Source organism: Homo sapiens, chromosome 5 (assembly GCF_000001405.40).
Source record: "Homo sapiens chromosome 5, GRCh38.p14 Primary Assembly".
Taxonomy (NCBI): domain Eukaryota; kingdom Metazoa; phylum Chordata; class Mammalia; order Primates; family Hominidae; genus Homo; species Homo sapiens.
In genome coordinates, this window is record NC_000005.10 from 128,154,719 (window position 1) to 128,176,410 (window position 21,692).

The following is a 21,692-nucleotide window of genomic DNA, read 5'->3' on the forward strand; positions in this document are numbered from 1 at the left end:
TGTTGTTGTTCATGTCTTCTATCCACGAAGTTAGTGCCTTTTCCATCTTAACTAAGCCCTTATTGCACATTACGGCTGTAACTTTTACAGTTTGAAGTGCAGCAGCAAAACTAGCATGAGTTTCTTTTTCCTTCTTTACAGTTTCACAGTTAGAAGATTCATTTTCTTACTGTAGATTTTAGTAACCTTTGCGTAAAATTTTTTTTCTTTCCTTAAGAACTTTCACCTTTTCACTTAAAGGAAGCATTTTACAGTTTTTTTTTTTGGCATATTCAAATTGCCAGCATCACTACTCTTGTGCTTTGAGGGCATCATGAAGTAAAATAAGAGTTGCTTGAACACAGGCACTGCGATATGCAACAGTTGATCTGATAACCAGGACAGATGTTGGGCAGGCAGTGTCTGTAGCACAGAGACGCTGGATAAAGGGAGAATTTATGTCCCAGGCCAGATGAAGCCGGATGTTGAGAAATTTCACCACACTACTCAGAATGATGCATAATTTAAAACATGAATTGTGTATTTATGGAATGTTCTATATTCTGAAACAATGGAAAACAAAGCCACAGATAAGGGGGGCTAGTGTACTTTTTGATTTTTAATTTTGGACATTATCAACTGATGTCTTTCATCTACGTATGCCTACCACATGCATGCATCCTTACCTTTATACCCCATCCTCCCAATACATTTTATATTATGATTTTGATTAGATCATATTTGGTATTTATATTTTTAAGACTTTTAAACATGCTGTAACAGCTGAGCCATGTAGTAAATTATTACTGTTTTTTCTTTGCTACATAGCTTTTTTGTTTTCCCTGAAACTAATAATTTTTCTTCTTCCTTAACTGTATTCATCACTGTCTTAACCTTCACCAAACTTGCCAAAAGATTTTTGTTGTCTTCACCTTGTAGTTTCTTACTGTTTACTGTTTCTTTAATTTGGGTTTTGGGATTTAGCCTGGTCTGAAATGAAGTATCTCTAATACTTGGCCAGGGAAGTTCGGCATTGGTAAGTGGAGCTTGTCAGTTGAAGTCCTTAATGTAGATTAATGTGGCTTTGCTGGTTCTTTGAGGAATGTGATTATCTTAAAGGCTTTCTTTTTGATCTGATTAGATTTTCCAGAAAAGATTATTTTAATCTTCTGCTTGTAGGTAGAGAGTTCTGGGAGCCAAGTGGGGAAAGGAGCTTAAAGGTTTCAGGGTTCAGTATATACATGTTCTTTAAACTCTTCTATTAAATGTAGCTTACTTCTGCCCCTAGCTGTTGCTGGTGACTCCCAGACCAGGGACTCTCTCCAGCAAATAAGCCCCAGCTTAGTAGGGTTGGGGAGGTTCAGGGACAGTGGCAATGATTTAGTGATGGAAATGATTTAGATCCATCTAGTTACTTCTTGTGTAAACTTTTACTTTCTTTAACACACTGTTCCTGCCACTTCCAGAGGGACCTACTGTTCCTAACTCCTAGGCATTTTGGTGATTTTTAGATGTAAAATCAGGTAGTTTCATAGCTTCCTCATGTGCTTTCCAGATTTCATTTTTTTCTGATTTGTCAAATCCTTTACTTTTCTTCCAGTTGCTTTCTAGCTTTCAGTATTCCAGTGCTGTTGTGCTCCAGATATTTTTGTGGTTTGTGCCTTTAAAAAAAATCTCTTTATGCCGTGGAGAGTTTTGAGAAAGGAGATTACATCAAGGTAGATGTGCACTCTGCTGCTGTTACTCAAAGTCATCCCTAATAAACTTTGTACTGTACCATTTTTGGTATGATCAGACTGTACCAAATTATATCTTTGTGGTTTATTGTTTAGTAAAGATAGGGGCTACAAGTTAATTTCTCACAATAACGGGTTCTATTAGGGTATGGGTTAAACTACTATAATAAAAAGACTGAAAAATACAGTGGCTCAAACAAGAGAGACATTGGTGTCACATGGTAGTCCACAAGTAGACAGATGTTTCATAGCAGGTAAGCAGATTTGCTGTACTTTGGTCACTCAGAACCCACGTTCCTTATCAGTCTGCCATTCCCTAGCTGTTTTTGTTCATGTGGTCAAAGTCATCACTGCATCCACAGTCTAGCTTTCTGGAAAGGGGGAAGAATGTATGGAGGCAGCACAGCTTCCTTTTTTAAAGGACACGCCCTGGAAATAGGAACATACTTATGGGCTATAAGTTAGTCATTGGGCCACATTTAGCTCCTAGGAAGGCTAGGAAATATACTGTCTGGCTAAGGAGTTAATGTAACTTGCTAAAGCTCGAAAGTCTGGGGCATGATTTCATGTTTGATTGCCTCAAAGCAACTCTCCCAGACAGAATTGCTTTTCCAGCTCATTTGCTAAAATTCTAAGTAAGATGGTATTTTTTGAAAAGTCGTTATTTAGGTTTTCATCCTCATTTTAAGGACTCCTGTAAACGTTAACGTTTAAGTCGGAAATTGTAGTCTGCAATTCACTTTCTGTTATAGTTCATTTTGATTATATAAATCCTTTTCTGAAGGAATTTTTGCCAGTCTGTTTGGACCTACCAAATGGAGACCTGTATATTTTTTACATTAAATATCAGTGATTTCCATTTCCAGTCAGTGAAAATCAAGAGCTACAAATATATGAAAGGCATGCCACTGTCTCACATTTGCAAAGGCAATTGAATTCTGTTTTGGCTTTCATCATTGATAGCTAGAATTCAGATTTCTAGTTCAAGTAGAAATCTTTTTTTCAACATAGGTGATTTTACTCATGGGACGACAGTCATTAATGTTAAGCTAGATTAGAGAGGGCTGATATCATGAAGTGGTAATAATTATGAAGTGATCAAGCTAAGAAGGAAAGTGACCTGTTTTGTACATGAAGGCAAACCTGTGCTTGCAGGAAGTTTTGCAAACTCTATGAAAGAATTATTAATAGAATATTTATTACCTTTAGAAAATGAAAAATTGTTACATATTTGAAGACAAAGCAGTGCTCGCAGGAAGTTATGCAAACTCTGTGAAAGAATTATTAACAGAATATTTATTACCTTCAGAAAATGAAAAATTGTTATATATTTTTTTAACTAGCATGATAATTTCTTTCTGTAATACCTACCAGAATCTTGATGTATAATAGTACCTATTATTTTAGAGGGACATTTGGCATGATGTTTGTTCCAAGATTTTGTTTCTGCATTTCTCATGTACCAAGAAGTCCTGGTTAAAAATAGTCTTTTTGAGAATCCTGTGGCCTGTGTCTTAAGGACAGTTGTATACAGAAAGCTTCTTAGGGAAACAACTTAAAATCTTGTTGCCAGAAACACAAATTTATCTAATTTTGTTTGTCTTTTCATCTTAAATTAGGCCACAGTGTCTTGTTATGACAGGTGCTCCAAACTCACGTCCAGCTTTACTTCATCTTGTTCATGATTTCACAAAAAATGTTGGTTTGATGATCTGTGGCCATGTACATATGGTAAGTATCAATTTTGTTTTCTTTTTCAAGTTTTTTTTTAAAGTTTTATTTTAGGTTCAGGAATACATGTGCAGGTTTGTTATGTAGCTAAATTGTGTGTCACAGGGGTTTGGTGTACAGATTGTTTTGTCACCCAGGTAATAAGCATAGTACCCAATAGGTAGTTTTTTGATCCTCACCCTCCTCCCACCCAGTAGCCTCAAGTAGGCCTCAGTGTCTGTGGTTCCCTTCTTTGTATCCATATGTACTTAATGTTTAGCTCCCACTTAGAAGTGTGAACATGTGGTATTTTGTTTTGTGTTCCTGTGTTAGTTCACTTAGGATAATAGCTTCTAGCTGCAGCCATGTTTCTGGAAAGGAAGTGATCTCATTCTTTTTTATGGCTGCATAATACTCCATGGTATTACAGGTACCACATTTTCTTTATCCAGTCTACCATTGATGGGCATTTAGGTTGATTCCATGTCTTTGATGTTGTGAATAGTGCTTCAATGAACGTACGCATGCATGTGTCTTTATGGTAGAACAATTTATGTTCCTTTGGATATATACCCAATAATGGGATTGCTGAGTCGAATGATAGTTCTGCTTTGAGTTCTTTGAGAAGGCCAAACTGCTTTCCATAGTGGCTGAAGTAATTTACATTCCCACCAGCAGTGTATAAGTGTTTTCTTTTCTCTGCAACCTCACCAGCATCTGTGTTTTTTTTTTTTTTTGACTTTTTAATGATTGCCATTCTGACAGGTGTGAAATAATTTTTTTATACTAAAACTTTTATGCTGTATATAATTTGTAATTTATAGGGCTTTCTAGATTGGAAATAATTTGACAAGCCAACTTTTTTTTTTTCAGGTAGTTGTTTTTTTCAAAATATTTTTGCCCCTAAATGGTCTTGAAGTAGCATTTTTAAACAGTTACTGAATTTTGAGCTCTCATTGTTTTTCTTATTCATTATGAGTAGATTTTAACAAACTGTATTGTCCTTGTAGAGTGGTTTGGCTTTTTGATACCTATGGAGTAGAAATTCACTGTTATTTTTCTCACTAATATGTCTGAAACTGGGCCCCTTCTTTACACCTTATACAAAAATTAAGATGGATTAAAGACTTAAACTTAAGACCTAAAACATAAAAACCCTGTAAGAAAACATAGGCAGTACCATTCAGGACAAAGGCATGGGCACAGACTTCATGACTAAAACACCAAAAGCAATGGCAGCAAAAGCCAAAATTGATAAATGGGATCTAACTAAACTAAAGAACTTCTGCACAGCAAGAGAAACTATCATCAGAGTGAACAGGCAACCTACAGAATGGGAGAAAAGTTTTGCAATGTATCCATCTGACAAAGGGCAAATATCCAGAATCTACAAGGAACTTAAACAAATTTACAAGAAAAAAACCACCCTGTCAAAAAGTGGGCAAAGGATATGAACAGACACTTTTCTTATGTGGTCAACAAACATATGAAAAAAAGCTCATCGTCACTGGTCATTAGAGAAATGCAAATCAAAACGACAATGAGATGCCATCTCACACCAGTTAGAAGGGCAATCATTAAAAAGTCAGGAACAACAGATGCTGGCAAGGATGTGGAGAAATAGGATCACTTTTACACTGTTGGTGGGAGTTTAAACTAGTTCAACCATTGTGGAAGACAGCGTGGCGATTCCTCAAGGATCTAGAACTAGAAATACCATTTGAGCCAGCAATCCCATTACTGGGTATATACCCAAAGGATTGTAAATCATTCTACTATAAAGACACATACACACGTATGTTTATTGTGGCACTGTTGACAATAGCAAAGACTTGGAACCAACCCAAATGCCCATCAATGATAGACTGGATAAGGAAAATGTGGTGCATATACACAATGGAATACTATGCAGCCATAAAAAAGAATGAGTTCATGTCCTTTGCAGGGACATGGATGAAGCTAGAAACCATCATTCTCAGCAAACTAACACAAGAACAGAAAACCAAATACTGTATGTTCTCACTCATAAGTGGGAGTTGAACAATGAGAACACACGGACACAGGGAGGGGAACATCACAAAGCAGGGCCTGTTGGGAGGTGGGGGGGCTCGGGGAGGGATAGCATTAGGTGAAATACCTAATGTAGGTGACAGGTTGATGGGTGCAGCAAACCACCATGGCACCTATATACCTATGTAACAAACCTGCATATTCTGCACATGTATCTCAGAACTTAAAGTTTTATATATATATGTTTTATAAAGTCCCAAGAACACTTGGGAACATTTACTTACCAGAAAAAAATGGGGGTTGGAAGAAATAGGCAAATTGTGATAAATATCTCCGGGGGAAGTAATATCTCTGGTATGTAAGAAGAACAAAGTGAATGCTGAATTTCTAAGTTCAAACACTTAGTTGCCAATTCTTTTTTGTTTTAGCCAGAAGAAAACTATTAAAAATAATGAACCTTTTTTAATCCGAAAGTAGTTTTTAGTTTTTTGGCATTGTGTTTATTAAGAACAGACTGGATGATGGCTTACCTGTGCTGCATAAGAAATAGGGGTATTTGTTGGATCAGCTTCTCTCTCAATTTCTGTTCTTCATCTTGTCTTGATTCTAGAAGTGTATATTGTATACCTCATGTCTCATCCCCAGCTAATTGTTCTGCTTATACAGTGGCAAAGTCAAGGGGTGTGTGTTTGTGTGTGTGTGTGTGTGTGTGTGAGAGTGCGTGTATGTAGGGTGGTAGAAGGATACTTGGAGACACTGACCCCACTTGGGACTTGTGGAGTTTTCTAGTTTGTCTCTGAGCTGATCAGCTAAATCAAGCCTTGAGCATAAGACATTTACAAATGAGACAATTTCCCCACTACAAAAGGTAAATTATATTTTTACTTATTTACATTTAGGGTGTGTACTCTTAAGCTTATTTTTAGATTTTTGTTTTATATATTTGTGTATAACACATTTTGTGTATTGCTTGCAAGGATCAAAATAAGAGTTATGAGTTAACAAAGTTCATTTAGTTTCTCCTGTTATTTCATCCTTTAACAGAATTTTAAAGAAAAATGCATTAATATTTTATAGCTCACTTTGATTTTCAGTGATATTCTCAAGTTAGAATTAATAACACAGACATTTGGGAGTAACAAAAACAAAACTAGGGAAACTTTCTGTAGAAAAATAGAAGGTGGTTATTTTACTCTGTATAATCTCTTCATTTTTGATAGCTTCTAACCTCTTTACTTAGAATGGAAACTTTTAATTTATTTGTAAGTCTGTGTTTCTTCTCTTATTCTTTCTACTGGCATCCCTGTGCCTTAGCTATTCCATCACCTCTACCTTTTTGTAATCTTATGTATTAAAAAGACTACATGGAAATAAAATGCTATTATTATACTTCTGACCCTACATTTAGTCACCTGTTTCAAGCCAGTATAACAGGATGAATCATTTGTATAAATGTGAAGTTGCTTACCTTTTAATTAAATATATTATTAATATTTTTATTCAAAGGGTCCTCGAAGACAAGCCATGAAAGAGATGTCCATCGATCAAGCCAAATATCAGCGATGGCTTATTAAGAACAAAATGAAGGCATTTTATGCTCCAGTACATGCAGATGACTTGAGAGAAGGTGCACAGTATTTGATGCAGGTAACTTTGTTAATGCTTTTCAAATGCCTACATTTTAGATTTGTATAAGCTTTTTAAAACTTTTTAATTCTAGATTTCATTCTTCATACTAATAAAAATGGCAAATCTTTTTTTATGTCTTTATTAAAGTAAACTACTTTGGCTCACCTGGCTAGTTCAGTCAGTAAAGCATGAGACACTGAAAGTAAACTACTTGGATTTGTATAATTCAGAATTAAAGGGACAGTAGAAATGTTGTGTTGTTCTGTGTTAATTGTGTAATTGTGGAGCTACTTTGTTAAAGTAGAGGTGGGAGGCTCAGAGTATTGTCTTCTGATCCGTTTCTGTTGTGTGTTTCTTAGAACTTGATAAGCACAGGGTTAAGAATAGCCAAGGCAATCTAGGAAGAAGGGACAAGGTAGGCTTGCTTTATAGGAAAGAAAGCCCTGTCAAAAAACTGTAGTAATTAAGACATTGTGGTGTTGAATATAGCGATAGACAGTTAGACGAATGGCACAAAACAGAGGAAATAGAGCTACCCGTATCAGAAACTTAACATATATGACAAAGGTGCTATTGAAAGCATGGGCCAGAATAAATCATTATTAACATGAAAAAAAATACTAGATCCTTATAAAAACCACACAAAACACATCTCCAGATGGATTAAATACCTAAATTTAAAAGGCAAATTTGTTTTGTTTTTAGAAAAAATTCTAAAACAATTTTATGACCTTTAGCTAGGGAAGAATGAGGCACCAAAAGTTGAGTTCAGTAGTTTTGTAGTTTAAAATTTTGAGATTCTAAAGAAAACATGAAAATAAATAAAGGAAGCATAGACCAAGGGAAGATGGTGATCCTAACATGTAATCAACAAAAGATATGGTCCAGAGTACAGACAGAAATACCATGTCAGTAACAGAAAAAAAGCGAAAGATATGAACAGAGAGGAAAACTAAATGACAGAAATAAAAATTAAAAGCACAATATACTCTTATTCCATATCCATTAGACTGACCCAAAATTAAGTCTGCCAATACAGAGTGTTAGAAATGGCATAGAGCAAGCTGGTCCAACCCGTGGACTACATATGGCCCAGGATGGCTTTGAATGCGGCCTAACACAAATTCGTAAATTTTCTTAAAACATTATGAGCTATTTTTGTGAGTTTTTTTTTTAAGCTGATCAGCTATCATTAGTGTTAGTGTATTCTGTGTGTGGCTCAAGACAATTCTTCTTCCAGTGTGGCCCAGAGAAGCCAAAAGATTGGACACCCCTGACATAGAGCAATTGGAAATCTTTGAACTGCTGTGGTAATGTAGATTGGACAACAACGCTGTCCAAAATAGGAAAGCAACCTGGCAAAATGTCCTGCAAATTTGGTTTGAATATTCTAGGACACTCTCTTCTTAGGTGTGCATCTCACAGGAACTTTTGCACGTGTGAAGAAGGCTATATGAAACTTCAGGCCGGGCACAGTGGCTCACTCCTGTAATCTTAGCACTTTGGGAGACTGTGACAGGTGGATCACCTGAGGTCAGGAGTTCAAGACCAGCCTGGCCAACATGGTGAAACCCTGTCTCTACTAAAAATACAAAAGTTAGTCAGTTGTGGTGGCACGCACCTGTAATCTCAGCTACCTGGGAGGCTGAGGCAGGAGAATCACTTGAACCCCTGAGGCAGAGGTTGCAGTGAGCCAAGATCATGCCACCGCACTCCAGTTTGGGCGATAGAGCGAGACCCCATCTCAAAAAAAAAAAGAAACTTCATGGCAACGTCATTTGTAATAGTGAAAAAGAATCGGAAGTAACAACCATCAATCACAGAAATGAAAATGTAGTACAAATGTATGGTAGAATTCTATACAGTGGTGAAGAGGAGCTATATATATCAACATGGATACACCTCAGAAACAGTGCTTAGGAAAAATAGCAAGTTTTAAAAAGTATATGAACAATATGAAGATTTAAATATTTTAAAAATGTAGTAAATTTTATATGTATGCATTTCTAAGTAATAGAATACATAGTAAAAATGCAAAGAGAACATGAAGATACAGTGGAGGCTTTACTGTGTTTCTCATGTTTCTTAACGGCGCGGTAGATACATGAATGTTTATTATTTATACTTTATTTTTGTATGTGAAATATTGAAATATTTTAGGTAGAATGCTACACTGGGTCATATGGTTATTTCTAGTAGGTAAATCTTGCTTCCTTTATATAATTTATAGGAACATTCTGATAGCCAATTTATACAAACAATAAATTTTAGGAAGGAAATGAATGAAAAATTTTCCTTAGAGCAGTGGTCATTAAACTTCAGCATGCGTCAGAATCATCTAGTAGACTTGTTAAAACACAGATTGTTAGGCCCCACCCCAGAATGAATCAGATCTGGGGTGAGGGCCCAGCGTTTGCACTTCCAACAGAGTTTGAGGTGATGCTGCTGATTCAGTTCAGGGACTATACTTTAAGAATCACTGCTCTAGAAAGTCTCTGTGGTGTAAATGATTCTTCTGTAAATTTGGCAGGAGCTAGAATTCATCCTCCAGATTACTTTCATCCACCTAATATATTCACTGCAGTGGACCATGACAACTCTATCAGTGTGGGGCAAAGTTTTAGGATAAATAGAAGAGTATTGTTTTGAGAAAAATACTTAGGAGACTGACTTTCTAGCAGAGCTGTCTGAGGAACTATATGAAATATTATTACAAATAGGTGCCGGTTGCCTCTGTACAACTAGTAACTGAAATTTTTAGTGTGAATTGCTGCTGAGAGTATTTCTCTTTCCTTTCTACCTTTGGGAAACCTGTTACACAAAGTGTCAAATGTCTTTTAGTTGTTTATTACCTTTGGCAAAAGAATTTTGTACATTAATTTGTTTGTACAGTGACTTTTTGTATAGTTGTAGAGATGCTGTTTTTAGATGTTATTTGTTTTACTGGACTTACCCTCAATTTTTCCCTGTCCCCTCATCTTTCTAGTTACTAATTATAATCTTAAGCATCTATTTATCATTAAACTAGCAATTAAGTATCTAGCTTCCACAACAAAACTGTTTTGTTTTTTTTTTTTTTTTTGGAGACAGAATCTCACTCTGTCTCCCAGGTTGGAGTGCAGTAGCTGTAGCTGACTGCAGCCTTGACCTCCTGGGCTCAAGTGATCCTCCCACCTCAGCCTCCTGAGTAGCTGGGACCATAGGCGTGCGCTACCATGGCTGGCTAGTTTTTGTATTTTTTGTAGAGATGAGGTTTCACCATGTTGCTCAGGCTGGTCTTGAACTCTGAGCTTGAACAATCCTCCTACCTCAGCCTCTCAAAGTGCTGGGATTATCGGCATGAGCATCCATGCCCAGCCTAAGACTTCACTATTTTAAAAAAGAGACAATCTTATCAATAAATAGCTTGCTTAGAGACCTCTTTGAGCAAAGGACATTAGCATTGCTAATTTTCTTGTTTTGTATATTTGTATTTCCTTTTCCCTTTAAATTTTTTGTAAGGCAATAGCCACCTGATTGTCAACTCAATTTTAAACCTTCATATTTAAATAGCAAAACTAAATACGTTTTTTTGGTCAGCAAATTTTGGCTTAAGATGCACAGAAAACATTGTTAAAGATTTGAAGAAATAACACAGTGGGAATGTTTGAAATTCGTGCAATAAGCTTCAGATGACTGCATTTTGCTAAATAGATTTCAATTATGTAATCCATGAAGAACTCATTTCCGATCACTTAGTAAAGAAGTATGTTCCAGAGAAAACATATTTTCAGTAGCTAATTACTCCACTGATAAACATATTGTTATTTGGACACTGAAAACATAACCTTTGACTGAATAGCTACTTTGATTGGAATTTGCAAAGGATTTAGGGATGAGAGTGATAGATGTGAAGTTTCAGTCATTCAAGGGAAAGTTATTGCAGTAACAAAATTGAAAATGTAAGTATACAGAGTACAGCAAGTTGTTATTGTTAACTTTATAAAAATAAAACCTTTTAATTATTATAGGATTGTAACAAATTTCTGTGAGTGACCCTGACAGTATTTTGCACCATTAAGAAGGTACTGGTTATCTTATGGCTTAGTTCTTTAAAAAGCTATCAACCTAAAGATATTCTTGGTTTTCTTTTACCTCCCCCCCCCCCCCCCAGTTAAAAATATGCTGTGTGGTTAAGATAGTTTTAAAAAACTAAAATGAATATTTTTATCTGCCTCTCCAAGTCAAAGGTCCTTTTAGTATTGAATGGGGGGAAAATTTACTTCTTGAAAGAAGTCTGTATATGGATGGAACACTTTGAAAACAGATGTAAACTTTACAGAGTTAGGGATATTTCTTCTGTCCTAATTATCCCGAGTGGCAGGTCAACACTTGATAAATATTTGAATTAATTTTTTTTTCAAAAAATGACATATGTCACAAATAATCCTATGTGTGACCTCACACTATATATAAAAGTTAAATTAGTGACATAAATATGAGAGCAAAACCCGTAAAACTCTTAGAAGAAAACAGCAGTAAGACTTAATAGCATTGGATTTGTTAGTGGATTCTTAGATACGACACCAAAAGCATGAGCAATAAAAGGGATGGATAAAAAATATTCGTTGCTGTTTTATTCACAATAGCCAAAAGATAAAAACAAAAGCGTCTCCCAACAGATGAATGGATAAACAAATGTGTGTGTGTGTGTGTGTGTTTGTGTGTGTGTATGAAATGGAATATTATTCAGCCATAAAAAGGAATGAAGTTCTACAACATGGATTAACCTTGAAGACATTATGTCAAGAATATATACTGTTGTTTCACTCATGCAATATCTAGAATAGGCAGATTCATAGAGACGGAAGTACATATTACCAAGGGTTGGAGGGAGAAGGGGATGGGTGATTATTAAGGGTTATAGAATTTCTGTTTGGGGTGATGAAAAATGTTTAGAAATAGATAGTAGTGTTGCTTATATAACATTGTGAATATAATTAATACTATTGAATTGTACACTTAAAAATGGTTAAAATGACAATTTTTTTTATTTATCTTTTGCTACAATAAAATACTAAAACTTGTGTGTGCACACAATCTTGGAAATAGAATTTTCTAATGTGTTTAAAAATCTTAGATTGAGTGAATTTTGGGGGATACTTTGGCCCTCTGTGTCTGCAGGTTCCACATCTAAAGATTCAACCAACCATGGCTTGAAATTATTTGAAAAAATAATAATACAACAATAAAAATAATACAAATTTTAAAAATACAATATAACTTTATATTGTATTAGCTATTATGAGTAATCTTGAGATGATTTATAGAATAAGGGGGGTTATGTGTTGTTTATATGCAAATACTATGCCATTTTATATAAGGGACTTGAGCATTTGCAGATTTTGGTATCCTGGAAGGGCTGAAGGGAGACCCTGAAACCAATTCCCTATTGTTAAACATACTGAGTTGCAAATCCTGATGAGGTTGCAAGAAAAATTGATGGAATAACTGAGGAAGGAAATTAACTAGCCAGATGTCAGCAAAAACTTTTGCATGATTGGTAGAACAAATTCAGATTTTAGTATTGATGTGATTCAGAACTGCATTCATTTGGACTTTTGTTTATAGTTTTTAATGGCTGTTATCACAATATATAAATGAGAATGCCACTGTATTATAATTTTTAAAAAGATTATATTCTCTTTCTCTTAGTAAAAATATGAAAATTTTGGTAGATCATAAAAGTACAAAAATATGTACATTTAGAATTTTTCAAGTGTTTTATTTTTAAATTATATTTTTGTGTATGTTTAATTTTAAGTAATATCAATGGAATAGTATATGTAATTTATAAGTAAATATGAATATGGAATGCTGAAGAATTTTTGTTAAGAGTGTCTATAGAAGCTGTCAATTTGGAGGACAGTTTTATCACTTCAGAAAACATTTTGTTGAAAATAATATATCTGTAAAGTTATATTGACCCTATATTTTAGGCTGCTGGTCTTGGTCGTATGAAGCCAAACACACTTGTCCTTGGATTTAAGAAAGATTGGTTGCAAGCAGATATGAGGGATGTGGATATGTATATAAACTTATTTCAGTAAGTATCTTTTTAATTCAATAATTTAGTTCATTTAGAAAATGTTAATTTTGAAAGCTTGTCCTAATTTTTGGAGACTGTTTCTCATATAGTCTCTTGTAATGGAAATATAAGAACGAAAAGAATCACACAAAGCATCTGGGTTTTAAATTGATAATCTATTAACAATTTTTTATTGATCTTTATATGTCTCTTTACATACATGCATATATATATATATACACACACACACACATATATGTATGTATATGTATATATGTATACACTCTGGCTTCTCATTTAAGTTTGTAAACTTTTTCCTATCCCTCCAGCTGTTGCTGAGCAGAGTTCCCAAATGTCAGACCCATCACCTCCTAAACTATGTCATTATAATGTGCTGAGGAAGAGTGTTTTATCGCTGTTTAGGCTTGTTCCCCTTCCAAACAAATTTTGCAGTTAATCATTTGGTTCATTCATTAAGTTATTTACATTTCTTTTATTTAAATGTACTTATATGTTTTGTTTTTCTACCACTATGAAGAGTTAAGTTTGAGTTCACTGTAACTTCCGTTTTTTGCGTTGTCTAGTGCAGCAGTCCCCAACCTTTTTGGCACCAGGGACCAGTTTCATGGAAGACAATTTTTCCACAGACATGGGTAGTGGTGGGGTCTGTGGTTTCAGGATGATTCAAGCGCATTACATTTATTGTGGACTTTATTTATATTATTATTACATATTCACCGTAATGTAGACTCAGTGGGAGTCCTGAGCTTGTTTTTCTCCAACTAGGCAGTCCCGTCTGGGGGTGATGGGAGACAATTGACGATCATCAGGCATTAAATTCTCATAAGGAGCGCACAACCTAGATTCCTCACATGCGCAGTTCATAATAAAGTTTGCACTCCTTTGAGCAATTGGTGCCGCTGCTGATCTGATGAGGTGTACTTCAGGTGGTAATGCTCACCTGCCCATGGCTCACCTTCTGCTGTGCAGCCCACCCAGTTCCTAACAAGCCTGGCTCATTACTGGTCCATGACCCAGGTATTGGGGACCCTTGGTATAGTGCGTTCTTTTTTATTCTTTGCTACTTTGTCTTTCTGGTTGTGTTCTGTTTGTGGATTTTGTGGATGTTTAATGTAATCTACCACATACTTTTTGTTTAATAACAATAAAACTTTTTTTTTGTTTTTGCCAGATTTTCTTCTTAATCTTGAAAAGTACTTCTTTTCCTACTATTCTAAGATTTGCCTAACCTATTTATCTTGTTTATACTGAAGATAAGCATTCCCTCTCCACTATGCCATACTTGATTTGAGGAGTAGTTTTTTTCTCATCCTAAGCACTGATGAAATAGAACTGTCTGCTTCCTCTTATAATTGTCCTTTAAAAAAAACTTTTATTTACAAAGTAGCTTTAAGATTAAAGTTTAAGTCCTATTTTCTCCATGAATTTTGATCTGATCACCCTTTTTTCTCACTGGAGTTACTTCCTTACTGGAACTCCTGTTGTATCTTTGGCTATAACCACATATATTTGCCTGTCTCACATATGATGGTTTTATTAGTGACATTTGAAAAGTCTTTGAGGAAGCAGCTGGATCTCATACTCTACTTTTTAAAGGATCTCTTTATATGGATTAGTAATATATATGATAAACAAGATTTACCAACTAATCGTTAAATGCTTTTAGTAAAATTAAAACTGCTGATGTGTTGTATGTTGTTACTACTGCTGAGTTTTGGTTTTATTAATGTTTTTGTAAGCAAAACCTCATTGTGGCTTTCTAATTTTGTATTCTGTGTATATAGGGATTAGGGACAGAAAGATTAATGTGGTCCATGAGCCATGAAACCCTATGCTTTTTCCCTCTCAAGACCTAAGAACAGTGAGATGACGTAATTATCCTAAAAAATAGAAAAAGTGACATTTTTTACAAATTCTTTCATACACCTGTCACATTATTAGTTGTAGTTGCTCATAATGGAACACTGGAAGGGGTCTTTCTGACTCTGACTTTCTAGGGATTAAAGTGAGTGAGTGTTCTGAAAGTTGAGTATTAGTCTAAACATTATTCCTGTACATTAGGCAGCAGTTAAAGAATAGGTAAAATACTGCTTTCTGGTTTTAGAACCATGTAAATTAATAGCAGTTTCACAGCAGTGACACTGCTCATTCTTTATCTTGTTGCACTTCCACTGATGTTTTAGCTGTGATTTTTAAATACCTTGTGCAATTTAAGTATGCTTTATATATTGTGTTTTTATTAATAGTATATAAGATCTGAAGCTGCAAATCAATTTTTATAGCTTATAACAAAAACATTTATTTGTTTTAATCCACAGTAAACTTGGGGAGCTATATTCCCTGGCTTTAAAGAAATTGATTTTGATTTAGTCGATTTATTAAACAATTTTTAAAATGCTTATAGTTATTTTTTCTCTAGTATTAATTATATCTTTCAAGATACAGCTGAGAAAGATTAACATGCCTATTAAATTTATTTCTCCAGTGACTTTGTTAACTTTAGCTCATCATAGGAATGTGGCCAAATTGTCTCTCCATGATTTAAAAACAACAAAAGACCTTTTATAACCATATATTATATCCTGAACACATTCTTCCATTTGTCAGTAAGAGTAATAATTTGACTGTTTTATTGGATTTTAGCCTTTTTGATTTCATATAGCTGTATCTTAATATATCATTGTTTTTAATATGTCTACATTGAATACTTATTACTTGTGCAATGAAAAATAATAATTAAAGATGAAAGTTAAGCCTGTTACCACTTTCAGAGAACAACGTGACGTTTTGGAATTTAAAATTTTTTCAGTAGATTTGAGAAAAACTTGGGTTAAAATGAAGATTTATGCTCAGAACTGAGATTCCAGGGTTTAAGTCTGGTTTTAAAGCTGTCTTCAAGATTTTAATGTATTTTCTGTGTGTATAGGATGCTCTCATTTCTGTTTTTAAAAATGAAAGGGATCGCTCCTGTAATCCCAGCACTTTGGGAAGACAAGGCAGGTGGGTCACGAGGTCAGGAGTTCAAGACCAGCCTGGCCAATGTGGTGAAACCCTGTCTCTACTAAAAATACAAAAATTAGCCAGGCGTGCTGGTGTGTGTCTGTACTCCCAGCTACTCGGGAGGCTGAGGCAGGAGGATTGCTTGAAACCGGGAGGCAGAGGTTGTAGTGAGCCAAGATTGCGCCACTGCACTCCAGCCTGGGCAACAGAGCGAGACTCTGTCTCAAAAAAAAAAAAAAAAAAGAAAGGGAGAGGTAAATATATATTTTCAGATGTATATAAAATCTTTGAACCACTGTTCAAACCAGTTTTGTAAAAATTTTAAAATTATGTTAAAATTCCCTCAGTCTTTTCAAAAAGAATTTCTTCATATCCTGCAACCTGCTATCATTCGCAGTAGCATCAAGGTTTTTGTGTGTGTGTCTTCATGTATTTCTCTTGGTTTTAATGGTATAAGCCCAAATATAAATATAGCGGGATTCTGAAAGTAGTTTTTCTATAATTTAACTTAGTAGGATAAAAATACTGCTGCTGCTTTAAACCGCTGCTGTAGGTATAATGTCAGTACAACAAAGATCTAAAAAGTAGTTTTCAAGGGTATTACAGAAGAGAATGTTGTGGAATTTGAAACTAACATACATATCTCAACAAGTGATTTTCAAAGCATGTTTTAAAAATCAGACGTTTAAAGCCGAAAGTAATTTTAGAGATCATCTATTATTTATTTTAAAGAGGATAACACAAATTTTTGTGATTTTTTTTTTGGTTTTTTCATTTTTTGTTTTTTTGTTCTTAGTGATGCTTTTGACATACAATATGGAGTAGTGGTTATTCGCCTAAAAGAAGGTCTGGATATATCTCATCTTCAAGGACAAGGTAAATTTTGTTGGCAATAAGTTTTTTATTTACAAAAATATAAACTACTTTGTTAGAAAATTATATTCTCACAAACTGGGCTCTTCGTTACTTTTAATAATTATGTATCGTGGACTTATTGTATGGCATTTTAAGATCACATCTGTTTGGCTCCACTAAAGTTTGTGTTTTCTCGTTGTACCAACCTGGATGATGGTTAGTGATTATTTGGATTGAATAAAATTCAATCCAAAGCATAAGCTTAAGAGAAACAGACATTAGTTATGTCTTTAAAAAACCTGGCCAACAGACAAACCTAAGTAAAATAGCCTGAGGAAAAATTTTTAAATGACCACTAAATCATTAGACATTTTCATATTTATGAAAGTATGCTTTGTACAGAGTCATATTGATAGAAGCCTAAAGTTTGTCATAACGTTTTCTATCTTCAGCAGACCTAATAAATTTTTTAAAAACATTTTTTAATTTAAAAATATTTATAGATTCACAAGAAGTTGCAAAAAATAGTAGAGAGGTCCTCTGTACCTTTCATCCAGTTTCCCCCAATGATAACATCTTGCCTTATCCTAAGGTACTATATCCAAGCCAGGAAATTGACATTAGAACAATCCACAGACCTTTTTCAGATTTCAGCAGTTTACAAAGACTTGTATGTGGTTGTGTAGTTGTGTGCCACTTATGTGTTCATTTGTGTAACCACCATTGCAATAAAGATACAGAACTGTTCTGTCACTACAGAGGTCTCCCTATGTGTTCCCCCTTTCTACTTCCCACTATGTACTTTGTCTCCAATCATTACTGTATAATTTTGACATGTCAAGAATGGTATGTAAATAATAATATAGTGTGTAACTTTTAAAGCATTTTTGAAAGTGAAGATTAAAGCCTAAGTAAGGTATAATTACTACTTTTGCCAACTTTATAAAAACTATGGCTGGGCACCGTGGCCCATGCCTGTAATCCCAGCATGCTGGGAGGCTGAGGTGGGTGGATGACCAGAGGTCAGGAGTTTGAGACCAGTCTGACCAGCATGGTGAAGCCCCGTCTCTACTAAAAATAGAAAAATTAGTGGGGCATGCTTGTAATCCCAGATGTTTGGGAAGCTGAGGCAGGAGAATTGCTTGAACCCAGGAAGCAGAGGCTGCAGTAAGCCGAGATTGCTCCTTTGCACTCCAGCCTGGGTGACAAGAGCAAGACTCAAAAAATACAAAAAAAACAAAAAACAAAAAACAAAAAAAAAACAACTGTGAAGATTTTTATATCCTTTGAAGATTTTCTGATACTTTAAGAAATTATAAGCTTAAGAAAATTTACATATATAACATATTACCCCTATCAATTAATTAACCAAATCATCAGAATGAGCTAAGCCTAAATACGTAAGAGGTATCTGCTTCTGTATTTAAACTGTTTTAATCTTCCCTCTCTTTACCCCTTTAAGGGCAGTCTGCAGTTTTGAAAAAAGCAATTTGAGGTCTTTATCCATGTAACCAAATATGCATTTTCAGCAATCTGGAGTAGGTTTGGCAAAATACTATTTCAATTATTTCTTGCTCTACCAGAATTGAGGTTTAGAGTGCCTAACTTATACCTGTTAACTCAACATAAATAGTAGTGTTCCCTTTCACGTATCAGTTTGATGAATAAATTATATAGTTCTATCATTTACTGAAGTTTGAATGTGATTGAAACTTTTAAAAAGTATTTTCATGTATTTATAATCATTGTGAAATGTTTTTGAATGCCTTATTATTCATCATTAAGTTTTAAAACAGGAATTTGGGAATAGGAATTAAGAGCATAGGCATTGGAGTCAGGCAAATCTGCTTTAAAAATATCAGCCTTTTCTGTTAGATGTTTTGTAGCCTAGGCAAATTTGATGACTTCCAAGCCTCAGTTTCCTTATCTGTTAAAATGTATTTACCTTACAGGTTGGTTGTTAAGATTAAAAAGAAGATTAAGGCCTGCGAGCTCTTAGCATAGTGCTGGCATGTAGCTTCTTTTGTTTCTCTTCATTTACGCAAATAAGTGATGAGGATTATGGACATACTATCAATTTTATATTATATTTGTCTTTGTGATACATGTTTGTATGGTGGAAACTAAATCTTTACTAACTCTGACAAAGAGAAAATGAAGAAAAACTACTTTAAAATGGAGAAATGGTACTTTCACCATGAACTTAGGAAGACTCCATTTGGTGGTCTTGGTTTTATAGAGTGGGTAGAGTTTTTCAGTGTTGTCTGTCATCTTACGTATCTATGGACAGTTGTTACATTTTACATTTTTTATGTAATTGATTTAGAGAGAATTGATTCACATACTATGTATTACTGTCTACCAGATTCTACTGTCCTATGACTTGTACTCATTACTGATTCTCCAGCTCGTAATTCAAATACAGTTTGTGTATCTATATCCAAAATGCTTGGAACCTGAAGAGTTTCAGAATTTGGACGGGGAGAGGTTGATTTTGGAATATTTGCATTACATAGTACTTACCAGTTGAGCATCTCTGATCCAGAAATCCCAAATCTGAAATGCTCCATTGAGCATCATGTTAGGCATGTAAAAAGTTTCAGACTTTCAGATCAGGATATTCAACCTGTAACCTAGTTGTGGTTTATGTATTTAAATGAATAGTCATTTCAAACAGATTATCATAGTTGTTTAAATAAGAAGCCATTTATAATAAACTTATTTTTTCATAATAGTTTAATTACTAAACCATAATGCCTTATTTAACAGTTAAAATATGACTTAGATACTATTTTAAATAATTTTCTGTCTACAGAAGAATTATTGTCATCACAAGAGAAATCTCCTGGCACCAAGGATGTGGTAGTAAGTGTGGAATATAGTAAAAAGTCCGATTTAGATACTTCCAAACCACTCAGTGAAAAACCAATTACACACAAAGGTAATTTTCATTCAAACAATAAGTCTTATTAATAGTAATGTTTTAATTTGGGAGAAATATTTTTAATTATATAATATGTCTTATAAAAATAACCTGTTCTCAAACTTGTACTGGTCATTTCTAGCTGGTCAGGTAAAATTTATGGCTTTCAAAAATGGCTACAAAATGACTAGCTGTGTAAGGTATTAGAGTAGATCATCAAACAGAAACCATGCTAGTTATTTACTAATATGGCTTCTGTGTTTTTATTTATAGTTGCTTTAAATAAAACATTTTAATTTGAAGCATAAGTTAAATCTGAATTTGGAAAGAACATGGTAATTTTAAAGTAACAAACTCATGACTTTCACATAATTTCATCCACAAATCTGTGTCATGTTTGAGAAGAAAAGAGGGATGACTTCCAAATCTTACTCTCCCACCCTCACTCTCCTACCTCTGTTCAGTCTAGTATCTCCATCTGTCCTATTCCCAGCTGACACGCAACAAGAAAATAATCTGCGCTGTGAATCATCAAACTGTAACATACTTTTGATTCCTGCAAAATATTTCCCATTCTTTTTCTGAAATTGTAACCTTGGACCAATCATGTCTCTGTACAGTTTATCTCTTCTATATTATTTAGAAGCAGTAATGTTGCTTTTTATTTCTTTCCTTCTCATTTACCTTGTTGGCTTAGAGTATTAGTAAAGTTTAGTTCACACCCATTTTCCTTTTCAGTTCTTTGCTGACTTGATTATAATTTATTTTGTTTTTCCTCAAAATTCTATAAACTGATTCTGATAACTGTTCCTATATTCCAGCATTTATTTTAGTTTACACTATACATTCTTTCATTTCCTCTTTTTTGTTTTTTTCTTTTGCTTCAAACATTCTTTTTCTACAGAATCTGTTGGGAATTAATAGGTGAAGTTTAATGGGAGGGTAAGAAGAAATACATATCAAGCATCTACTCCGTGCACCCAACATTATAATGGATGTTACCCATACATTAGCTAATTAATATATGTTACGATCTTATGAAATCATTATTTTTATAGAACAGGAAACTGGGTCAGTACATTTCTACTTACCTTTTTATTGTAAAAATCTAAATGCCTTTAACTTACTTTATAATTGTTAAATGTCAAGATTTCCTTGACATTTCTGAGATCTTTTAAACAAATGCAGCATATCCGTAGTTATAATTTTTATTATCAAAGACAAATGCCATTAAATGTCTGCTTTATAAGAACAATATTGAATGCTATAATATTAAATCTAATGATTCTTTTTCCATTACAAGTTTAAGAAATTAGTGTTTGCTTTATTTTGTGTTTATTTTCTGTTTAGTCAGTTATTCTCAGTCAACAGTGTAGATACTATAGAAACGTTTATACATTTTAAAAAGTCTTCAGAATTAGAGACATTAGTGTGTAGTTGTTATAAATCCACAGTATTTAGCTGTGTCTATCTTGGTTATTGAAGCATACATCATGCAAGAAGTCAAAAAGAACACCCTTCAAATACTTTCTGCCAGGCCCAGAGTTCAGTGCATTAATACTTGCATTAGTATAACAAGCTTAAGAGGTAGGTACTAATACCTCTTTCGACAAATGAGAAAAGCAAGTTCAGTAATGAAAGTTTACTCAGCTGTTTTAACTCCTGGGAATATAAATGTAGAGGTAAGATTGCAATCTTGCAGCCTAACTCCAGAGCCCACTGTAGTATACTCTTTCCTAAGTCCAGAGTTTTATATGCCATA

At 34.3% G+C, this 21,692-nt stretch overlaps 1 protein-coding gene across 4 annotated transcripts in view; it reads left to right on the forward strand.

The window, feature by feature from the left end:
* SLC12A2 (solute carrier family 12 member 2) overlaps positions 1–21,692 on the forward strand; it is a 105,912-nt gene that overhangs the window by 70,953 nt on the left and 13,267 nt on the right. For all 4 annotated transcript variants that reach the window (NR_046207.2, NM_001046.3, NM_001256461.2 and 1 more), the window contains exons 16-20: positions 3,335–3,446; positions 6,942–7,082; positions 13,043–13,149; positions 16,949–17,028; positions 19,823–19,948. Coding sequence is in view for 3 of the 4 variants with exons in the window: in NM_001046.3 (NP_001037.1) it covers positions 3,335–3,446; positions 6,942–7,082; positions 13,043–13,149; positions 16,949–17,028; positions 19,823–19,948 (566 nt within the window). In the remaining variant the exon portion in view is untranslated. The remainder of the gene's footprint in view (positions 1–3,334; positions 3,447–6,941; positions 7,083–13,042; positions 13,150–16,948; positions 17,029–19,822; positions 19,949–21,692) is intronic.